Source organism: Homo sapiens, chromosome 12, assembly GCF_000001405.40.
Source record: "Homo sapiens chromosome 12, GRCh38.p14 Primary Assembly".
In the NCBI taxonomy this organism is placed as follows: Eukaryota; Metazoa; Chordata; class Mammalia; order Primates; family Hominidae; genus Homo; species Homo sapiens.
The window spans coordinates 116,965,130-116,976,436 of NC_000012.12; the positions used below are offsets into that span (position 1 = coordinate 116,965,130).

General features: G+C 40.9%; 1 protein-coding gene across 8 annotated transcripts in view; it reads left to right on the forward strand.

The window, feature by feature from the left end:
- Positions 1 to 11,307, forward strand: part of FBXW8 (F-box and WD repeat domain containing 8) — a 120,199-nt gene that overhangs the window by 54,180 nt on the left and 54,712 nt on the right. The gene's annotated exons all lie outside the window — the stretch shown is intronic.

Below are 11,307 nucleotides of genomic sequence, written 5' to 3' on the forward strand. Positions count from 1 at the left end.
CAAAGCATCTTAAGCAAATAACTTGTTTGATGTAAAATATTAAATATACTTGGCCTACTTTTCCTTTAGCCTCTGCTCAGCCCAAAGGGAATAGTGAAAAGGGGATAGACATAGGTCATCTATTGATAAATGTAGTTATAGAAAAATAAAAGTCAGTGCCTACCTTTTCCTGTCACTTAATATACCATACCAGATAATTGGTAATAATATGTTTTCTCTTTGACATTGATAGAATTCTTTTTGTACATGAACAACTATGGATTTTTGGAACTAGGTACGAATAGTCTAAAGTTAGCTTTATCTATGCAAAGAAACTCTTGACAGCGTATAACTACTAGAAATGGTCATTTCAATGGCCATGATATCCAGTATGCCCACCTGTCATGCTCCTATCCTCCGTTATGTTGTGAAGTGTTGAATCTCCACAAGCTTCATGTCCCCACTTGCCCAAAAGTTGGGACCACAGCATATTTCAGAATGTTAAGTGTTCATGTCATGGCACCACTGCAAATCTTCAGAGTCAGTGTGACATTAGCAGTTGGCTCAGAGGAACAAAACTAAAGTAGCTAATGGGGAATTTTATACCCATGTGCTGTTTAAAAATAAAAATTAGGGCTGAGATCTTACATACATACCTATATATATTTGAGACAGGGTCTCACTTTTTTGCCCTGGCTAGAGTGCAGTGGCACTATCTCAGTTCACTGCATCCTCAACCTCCCGGGATCCAGTGATCCTCCCACCTCAGTCTCCTGAGTAGCTGGGACTACAGGCGCATGCCACCATGCCCAGCTAATTTTTTTTTTTTTTTTTTTAAGAGATGGAGTTTTGCCGTGTTGTCCAGACTGGTCTTGAACTCCTGAGCTCAAACTATCCACCTGCTTCAGCCTCCCAAAGTGCTAGCATTATAGGCATAAGCCACTGCACCTGGCCTTGAAAATATTTTTATATTTTATATAATTACTTTAGCAACGTGATGTTGGTTTGATGTTAGTAGACACTACTGATGGATTTCCTTTTCAGCCTATAGAAATTCAGCTGAGCTGTTTCTGTGGTATAATTAATATTTCATATGTTTATTGAGACCCTGGATAGATACCATAAGAGCAGCTTGAACATGTTTGCTACTTTCCAAATTATCAATGAGTTTTGTTTCCAAAATACCTATGCAAAGATTGCAGTACTTTTAAGTTAGAATCATATAGTTTTAGGATCATCTAATAGCCTTTCCCTACCATTCACACACACGAACATGCACACACATATTCTTCTACAGATGGGGAAACAGAGGTGCAAAGAAGCCAGGTAGGTTGAAGTCAGCAGTGAATCCAGAACTGTGATTGTGTCTCCAGGGCCGTGCTGCGGTGGTCGTGCTGTTTGTGGAATCCTGAACATAAAGACTCTTGTAGAAATGTGCGCCCAATTGATTTGCAGCCCATGTCTCACATCTCGTGAGCTTGAAAATACAGCTTGAGGTGATGTGCAGGGGTGCTGCTGCTGGTTTTATATTGTGAGAATTGTCTTCATTGCCCTCATCCCCTGTTGTTGCACAGAAATGTTGGGAAACAATGTAGGCATGATAAAGAATCTACTTTTTTTTTTTGAGACAGGGTTTTGCTGTGCCACCCAGGCTGGAGTGCAGTGGCACCATCTCGGCTCACTGCAACCTCTGCCTCCCGGGTTCAAGTGATTCTCCTTCCTGCCTCAGCCTCCCGAGTAGCTGGGATTATGAGTGCCCACCACAACAACCAACTAATTTTTGTATTTTTACTAGAGACGGGGTTTCACCATGTTGGCCAGGCTAAGAATCTGCTTTCTTTGGTAAAATGCTTCGCAAGTGATTGCCAAAATGTATTTTAAATTCTTTTTTTTTTTAAAGTCATAGTTAGAATTCAAACAGAGCAAAAATGTATATAAAATGACAAAGAAAAAGTATGCAAAAAGAAGTCGAGGTATTCCTCCCTGTCCCACTTCCAGGCCCTCTCGCATTTTACTCGTGGGGGGTCCTGCTCTGTATACTTCTCTGCACCTTTTTTTTTTTTTTTAATAACCTAATGGCACATCTTGGTGATCTTCCGTGTTCACACTTACAGGGTAAACCTTATTCTTTTTAATGCCTGTGTAGTACTGCATTATGTGGCTGTACCATCATTTATTTATTAGGGTCCTCATTGATACACATTTGAGTTGTTCATTTTTGTTATTGAAAACAGTGCTGCAAGCAATATACTTGAACAAATGCCAGGATGGACTTGTCCAAGGGTGGCCCTGGGGTGAGGTGCTAGTGATTGCTAGGTTGGAGGCTATGGCTGCAGGCTTTGGCTGCTTTAGGCTTTGATAACTATTGCCAAATTGCCCTCCAAAAAGGTTTCACCAGTTTATAGTGTCACCAAAAGTATGTGAGAGTGACTGACAGGTAAAAATGGCATTTTATTGTCTTTGTTTGCCTTTCTTTAATTACATGTGGACATCTTTTCTTTGTGTGTTGTTAGCTGTTTCTATTTCTTTCTCTGCAAATTGTTTGTTCCTGTCTTTCTTCATTTTTCTTTTGGGTTGTCATCTTTTCTGGTTGAAAAGAAAGCTTGGGAAATAATCCTTGCCATATGTGTTTCCGATATTTTTTCCGTAAGTCACTTATTCTTTTTTGTTTGTTTTGAGATAGAGTCTGGCTTTGTCATCCAGACTGGAGTGCAGTGGTGCGATCTCGACTCACTACAACCTCCGTCTCCTGGGGTCAGGCGATTCTCCTGCCTCAGCCTCCTGAGTAGCTGGGATTACAGGCGCCTGCCACCACGCCCAGCTAATTTTTTATATTTTTAGTAGAGCTGGGCTTTCACCATGTTGGTCAGGCTGGTCTCGAACTCCTGACCTCAAGTGATCTGCCTGTCTTGGCCCCCACAAAGTGCTGGGATTACAGGCTTGAGCCACCGCGCCTGGCTTGTCATTTATTCTTTAATGGACTTGTTTTCTAGAAGGTACTTGGTATGTGTGAACAATGTTAATTTTTTAATCTAAAAGTGAGTGGGGTTATTTTGTAATTTAATGTTTTTGATTACTACATTTTTAGGGTTCAAAGATCAAAATAATATAAAGTTATATATTGAGAAATCTTGCTGCCACCCACTTTTGTCTGCTCCATTCTGAAGTAACCATATTTTTTACTTTCTTGTATATCCTTGTATTTTAGTATTACAAGTACAAGAAAATATGAGTGTGTATATTCTTATTGCCCCCTTTTTAAAAAACAAAAGATAGCATACTATTTACTTTACATGATTCCACACCTTGGCTTTTTTCTCTAAATAGCATATCTTAAAAGGGAGTGCATGTCTGTGTAGAGAGAGTACCCCGTTTGCACACCTGAATGGTAATTCCATTGTGTATAAGCACTTTGGTTTATTGAAGGACAGTTGTGTTGTGTTTGCCGTTACAGTGTTGTAGTGAAAAACCTTGTAAAGATGACATTTCACACAAGTGCAAGGAGGATTGTTTTCTGGGTTACAGGGTAAATGCAAGTGGGGTTTTACTATTTTATGCTCTTACCAGCAAGCCATGAGAGTGTGCCCGCTTCCTCACAGTTTTGCCAACAAAGTATGTTTCCAGCTTTTGGGTATTCATCAGTTTGAGAAGAAATGGTCACCAAGTGTAGTTTTAATTTACATTTCTCTTAATGTGAGAAAGGTTAAATTAAAAAAAAAATGTGTACCTGCTACTTGTAGTTCTTTCTTTTTCTTCTGTTACTGTTATGGCTTATTTTTTATATTTTTATCTTGACAAGTTCGTCTTGGATTAGCATGCAGTATGGTTCCAAGTACATCTTTTTTCCAGCATCTCTTCTCGGAGAGCCCATTTCTACCTAACTGGTTTGAGGTGCTGCCTTTATAAGCTTTTAGCTATGAAATTCACTTTGTATCTGGGTCTGTTTCTGAACTTTGTGCTCTGTTTCAGTTGGTCTGTCTGGCAGCTTAAATTTACATCAAGCTTGTCAGTCTTGTCCTTTGGGGTTTCACGTCATGGTTGGGAAGATGATTACTCAACGCCTGGGTAAAATCTATAAGTGCTTCCAAGGCTGCAGTGTTTCCATTGAAATCTTTGATTCGTTTCAAGTTCATTTTGGTATTAAGGGCTCTTCCTTTTTTAGAGCCCTTGTGTTTCCCTGCTCCCCTCTCATGCTGAGCTTGTTTCATTGGTCTGATTCGGGTTGTTACTGTTTCTGTGATAAACAACAACTTCTATTCTTTCCCCAGACGTCAGGTGGCGTTACCTTTGGTCCCCCTTCAGTTTAACAGATCGACACTATGATATTTACACTAACATTTTCGTGAATAGCTACTTTTGGGCAAAGACAGATTCAAATAAACCCACATTTTTATATTGCTTCTTTCCAGGAGCAGCTAACTGGCACTTCTGAGGCAGAAACATGACAAAAAAAGGAATTTTACCTTGTGGGTTCTGCTGTCTAAAATTTGTGACACGGAAAAGAAGAATAAGACAATAAAATGAGTTAATGAACTTCAGTTCTCTGGTTGTGCCAAAGTGAGGCTCTGTAGCCATTGAAACGCCCTCGCTGGTCTACACGCACATTCTCGGTGGAGGGAATCGTATCCAGAGGGGGAGATGGAACCTGCTTTGGGGAAAGGGAGTCATCCCTGCATCCCTTTTAGCCTCTTTGCTCCGTAGGAACACTGTACATGCACCTGGGGTGTTGAGATTTGGCAAGGTGATCCACAGTTGTGATTTTTTGAATTCCAACCCTCTGGCCTCATATTTCTTCTGCCTTGTTTCCGATTGTCAGCACTGGCCATCCTCCAGTTTGATTTTACCACTAATTGTGTTGCACGTTACCATACCGAAATGAATCAAATCAAAATGCTTTTCCTGGAGCATTAGATAAAGCAGGCGAAGGTTCTGAGTAATGAGCAGATGCTGCTAATGCAGGGACGGCGGAGACCTTGCCAGGACTCCATCTGCTCCGTGCTTGCCTGCCTTTGGCCTCGTGCCACAGCATTAGGGAATGGCAGTGTGCTTCGAAACCCGCTCCCTGGTCACCGAGTTTGTCTTGAAATCTCGCTCTTTGGTGAGAAATGAGATTACACACTTCTTAGGTGCAAAGAAGTTTTTATTTGTCCCCCTCAGTAGAGAGAGGAGAGACGCGATCTGGTGCATATTAGCATGAGGAAGCCTGGACGGGACAGCCAGCAGTCCTCTTTATATGGTGCCATCAAGCACGGCAAAGTGGCTTATCCACCTCCGCAACACTCCCAGTGCAACTGTCTGAACGCACACATGCTCCATTGTCCGGGACTGTGGCTGCCCTGGGCGGAGGTGACTATGATTTCTCATTTACTGACGTATCAACAATGGACGGGGGTGGGTCTCTCCAAGCTGCTTTTTAGCGGTGAACAGTAGGACCATGTTTTAGTTAGACGGCTGTAGAGACTAGGTACTTCTAAAGTTTTACTTAAGATTTTGTTTTTAGTAAAAAATAGTTCTTCAGTTGTTTTGCTTGTATCTTTTGTTTGTATGCTGATGATGACATTTGGATGTGATGACATGGCCTTTGAATGCAGTAAACAACTACCCCCCTGCCCCCAACATTGAAGTTTTAGAAGTGATTCTTAACATGTTAAAGCATTGCTTGCGAGAAGGCTAAGGCAATTGATGGATTGTGGAGAAGTTGATTTTTTTCAAGGCCTTTGTTTTCCAGTCAGTCTTGTCCTAAAAGTTTCAATCATCAGTTCTTGCCTGGTACCTTTGCCTACTCACCCTTAGGTCCAGGAATCTAGTCTTCATATTCAGACACTTTGCAAACAAAACAGAATGAGACAACTTTCTAACAGAAACCAAAAAAACACACCAGGTATAGTCCTTGTAAAAGATAGGGTATGTTCATAAATGTAAACTTTTTTTTTTAACACTAGGAATGCTCACATTTTAAACATTCAGAAGGGAATTAAAACATCTAGGCTGGGTGTGGTGGCTCAGGCTTGTAATGCCAGTGCTGTGGGAGGATCTCTTGAGCCCAGGAGTTGAGACCAGCCTGGGCAACATAGTGAGCCTCCGTCTCTACAAAAAATGAACTAGCTGGGCATGGTGGGGTGCACCTGTGGTCCCAGCTACTTGGCGGGCTGAGGTGGGAGGATCACTTGAGCCCTGGAAGTTGCTGCAGTGAGCTGTGCGTGATTGCTCTGCTGCATTTCTGCCTGGGCAACAGAGCAAGACCCAGTCAAAAAAAAAAAAAAGGCAGAATTCTGAACTGAGGGGGTTTTGGTGTTTAAGAAATCCTTTTTAGGGCGTTGAACTTTAAGTTGACCTCCACCTGGCATATCTAGGATGTTAGAGATTGTTTCACAGACAGGCCACAGAGACTGTATTAGGGGCTGGAGGAAGTTGTTGAATACAAACGCTCTTTAAAAGTTTTTTCTATTCCTCAGTGACAGGAGCTTGAAATGATACATGCTCTGGGTAGAATCTGTGTTATATCTGAATAATGGGGCAGTGGGCCTCACATGAGAGTCTACAGATTGGATTTTGGGTGAGAGCTGTGAGATCTGTAGGAATTTTTTTAAATCTGTGCTTTTGTTTTTATGGTAATCTTAAAAAAAATAAAACTAGATCTTTTGACCCCATTACTCAACTGTGCTGTGGGATCTCGGTACCAGAATTTACACTTTGTGTTTGAGGCTGTTGGTACCAAGTGACCACCTGCATGCCCGTATTGACCTTGTCATGAATTGTTTTTCACACCAAGTGGCGTCCACAGTGAATTTTTAGGAATCTACAAGCCCTCAAAGTTAAGAAACACTGGAAAGGCACCATAGTATGCTAGTAGGCACAGACTAATGGATGACCAGTTTCTGGGATAACTATGCATTTTTGAAGTTACTAGTGAAAGTAAATTGAAATATTTTTTCTCCTGTAGAAAAATGTGGCACATTAAATTTACACTATAAGATTTAGTGTTACTCTTTTGGTTTCTTGGAGGTGGTTTTACTGAAAACTGATTTTTAATAATAGACATTAAGATGCATAAATTCACAGTAGCTGTTCTATTTTATTACAGTTGAGTTACAAACTGAAAGAAGCAATAGTAGCACAAGGTAGCTTTGGGGAGATAGTTTAGACTGGAGAAATAAATTGCCCAAGTTCTTAAGTGTACCTAATGACAACTGAGCATGAATTTATTTGCTTTCTCAAGGAAGATAAATCGAATTTTAAGTGAGAGAATTTAATTTCCCTTTCACTATGTGCAGTTTTGGTTGTAGCGTTTATTTCATTCTGAACCCTAGGGCTTGATCAAACTAGAAGTAAGTATATTTGTGGAATGAATATATTTTTGTTTGAAAAGCAAAATGCATCTGCTTGCCTGCCTTTTCATTCAAAAGGCCATTAAACGGGCCCAAGTGGAGTAGAAAGGTGGTCTGGGGGCCAGGGACAGTGTGAGAGGGAAGCTGAGCGAGGCAGTGGCCTGGGAGCTTGGCGGCATACAGGGAGACTGAGGAGGTAAGTATGTTGAGGCTCATGGGAGCCAGTTCTCTCATGCTTGGAGAAGGAAGGCTCAAGTACGGAAAGGGGATGGCCAGAATGAACCCTGTGGGGCTGGATTGGAATAGGAGGCATCGGTGTGGAATTTATGGTGTTAAATATAGATAGAGAAGTAAACAGAGATGTACATGTATGTCGTATGTATATATGTTTATGTGTGTCCTGGCTTTGTTTGCTGAGAAGGTGTAAGAGCATCAACAGCCCAGCTGTTGAAAGTATCACTATCTACTAAAAGGAACCAGGGATGCTTGGAGAAATGGTGGACTCCAGGGATGGGGCAGTGAAACCACACAGTAAGCCTGGACCATCTGATTGCACTGAAGTGAAGAAGTGCTTGAAGAATGATGACAACATGTCACAAGGACACATAAGTGAGCTTGAAGATGTTCCCACTGGCCAAACCTGGGACAACTGGAGTATCAAAGTCAATATTGATAATAACAGGTTACAACCCATTGAATAAAATAGGAATATATGAGTATATCATGATAAAAATAAACAGATCAATAAATAAAAAGGGAGGAGAGAAAAGTTTCCTTATAGTAGAATGTCAACTAATAAATGCAGAAAGCATGATGGGATTAGAAAATTACACATTGGCAACCATCACAGTAATAATTGATTCAGACAAAAAATCAATTGAGGCTAAAACCAGAGGATAAGAATGGGATGAGGGATGGGGTCTTACATGGTCTCAAAAAATCTCCCCACTAAACACTTACTAATTAAAAGGCAGGAAAAGATAACTCTGCAGTCAGGAAATCTAACAGGAACCGTCTTAATAAAGTGATCACATTTAACATCATCAGTAATGGTAGAATTGATAACCTGTGCCATGTGACACGATGCAGTGAGAAAAAACACAGAATCACTTCTTTGATATTATTCCAGCCAAAAGTGCACAGCCTGATCTAATCACGAGAAAATATCACACAAGCCCAAACTGAGGGACATTCCACAAAATGACTGGCCTGTCCTCTTCAGCACTGTCAAGGTCATGAAACTCAGGGAAGGTCTTAAGAACTATTCCAGGTGGAAAGAGAAGAGAGACCTGACAATGGAGTGCAGTGTGTCATCCTGGCTTGGGTTGTTTTTCTACAAAGAACATTACTGGGACAGTTGGCAATGGGATCTGAACAGTGAGTATATAGAAGTTCTTGCAGCTTTTCTGTAATTTTGAAAGTTTCAAAATAAAAAGATAAAAAATAACGTGTTTTTGAGAAAGATGAAGTAACAGGAACTGGATTTATCTTTCCACCTTAACTAGAAAACCGGACAAAATATATTAAACCATGGTTTCTAGACATTGGAAAATAAGTAGCCCATGGCTGTGATCTCTTGGAGGAGAACAAACATGGTGAGGCCCACAGTTACACCAGCTCACCAGCTGGAAACTCCAAACAAGGAGGGGGACCTAAACAGAGTCTGGTGGCCTCCCTGACTTGAGGAGGCCCCAGTGAGGGCTCAGGGAAGCCAAGGTGGATAGAATTTGTGGGCCAGAGTATTGGGGAAGAGGGAGCTCCCAGAGGGAGAACCCCAGGGATTGGCTGAGGATTCCCTCGAGTCTTTGGCTGAGTCCTACTCTGCACATGTGTAAGAGGAAATACCTGGATCAGGGAAAGAACTACCTGAAAGGAGAAGGCACAACAATTCCTGGAGCTCACATGAGGCTAAGAATAGTTTGCACTTCCCCAAGAGTAAAAAGACCTCGTAATACATGGATTGTTGAGTGGAATCTTCAGAAGGGTACCATGTTTTAGTAATGGGGCTAATTCAGCCCTAGACTAAAAGCTGCTCGGGATCCCCTAAAAAAAGTTGGAAAGCAAGCCACAAAAGGATCCAGCCGATTCTGAGTGTCTTAATTTTGCATCAGAATAAACTTCCATACTATTTTGTAGAATACAACAAAAGCTAGCAACCAGCAATGTAAAATTCACAATGTCTGTCATCCAATAAAAATGAAGCATGGCTGAGGCAGGAGGATCACTTGAGCCTGGGAGGTCAAGGCTCCAGTGAGCCATGATCATGCCATTGCACTCCAGCCTGGGTGACAGAGTGACACCTGCCTCCAAAAAAAGAATATATTGTGTACCCTGGTAACAGTAAGCACAGCTAGTGCCCAGATTTTGGTTTCTAAATGTTCTTCAATAAAAGGAACAAGGGCTAGGGCAGATAAATACAAGATGAATCTGGAACATTTTATGGGACCCAAAAGTAAGGATGTTTAAAATAAATAAAAAGATGAAGGTAGGGCATCTATAGGACAGTAGAACTAAATTGGAGCTCCTGAGGGCTAAAGGAAGGACAACTTGAGCAACAAAACATGATGATAGTGATGGACTATAACCTATGGATAATTAATTACCCATGAGTCCATATTGGTATCAATAAATACTTGAATAAATAAAGGAGAAGAGATAGCTCTTCCTTACAGTAGTAGTTGAATTGCTGTATGGGAAAGGATGATGAAAATAGAAAGCCACCATTTGGCAAGCACCGTAATCATAATTGTCGTAGGCAAGAATCACCAGCGGATGTTAAAATCAATGTGATGAATGTCTCTGTCCGTTTGGGCTGTTATAACAAAACAGTATAAACTGGGTGACTTATAAACAACAGAAGTATATTTCTGACATTTCTGGAGGCTGGAAAGTCCAAGATCAGGGCACTGGCAGATTCTATGTCTGGCGAGAGCCCTTCCTTCCAGGCAGTGCCTTCTCTCACATGGTGGAAAGGGCAAAGGAGCTCTCAGGCACTGTCGTCATGACCTGATCACATCCCAAAGGTCTCATTTCCTGGTACCATCACTTAGGGGGTTAGGATTTTAACACTGAAATGGTGGTAGGGGGGACACAACATTCAGATGAGCAATGAGTAACAGGACATTTGCATGGTGTGAAATTATCACTCCGTAAGAGAAAAACAGTAACTTTACAGTAGAGAAAACTGGCAGATACCACCTTAACCAAGTGATGATAGTTAACATGGCCAGTAATGAAACTTTGATATTATGTACCTCCTGATACATAATGCACTGGGAAGGCACAACACCTTCTGATTTTAAATATGAGGAAACAGCAGACAATTGAGAGGCCTACACAATAAATGAGCAGTACTTTTCAAAAGTGTCAGGGTCATGAAGGACAAGGAATGACTGAGTAATTGCCCCAGATTGGAGTCGATGAAGGAGACATGGCAGCTAGATGCTATGTGGAATTCTGGATTGGATCCTGGACCAGAAAAAATATGCTGGTAAGAGGACAGGTTAAATGCAAATAAAATCTGTAGATTAAATATGTTGCATCAGCGTTAATTTCCTGGCTTCCATCATTCTGCTATGGTTATGTAATAGGTTAACATTTGGGAAAGCTGGATGAAGCTATAACTGGAACTCTTTGCATAATTTTTATAACATTTTTGTAAGTCTGAAATTATTTCAAAATCAAAAAAGACTATCAAATTACAGGATTAAATAAGACTGGATTTTTCCCATAGCAATTTAATGCCATTTAAAAACAATGTTACATGATTACTTAGAAAAGAATGTGCTTGCCGCTTTTCTGCTGTCTGGCTGACTTGGAGGCCTGAGATTAGATGGTACCCTTGTGTTCTTTTGGTGGTGGTTATAATCAGGGATCCTCAGCATTTCTCTTTTTTGTATCTTGCTATTTGTCTTCAAGCTATTCCCCACCTGCACCCTCCCCTTTTCTTTAAAAAAAAAAAAAAATGCATGATGATGAGTACCTAATCTTTGGTATTTTG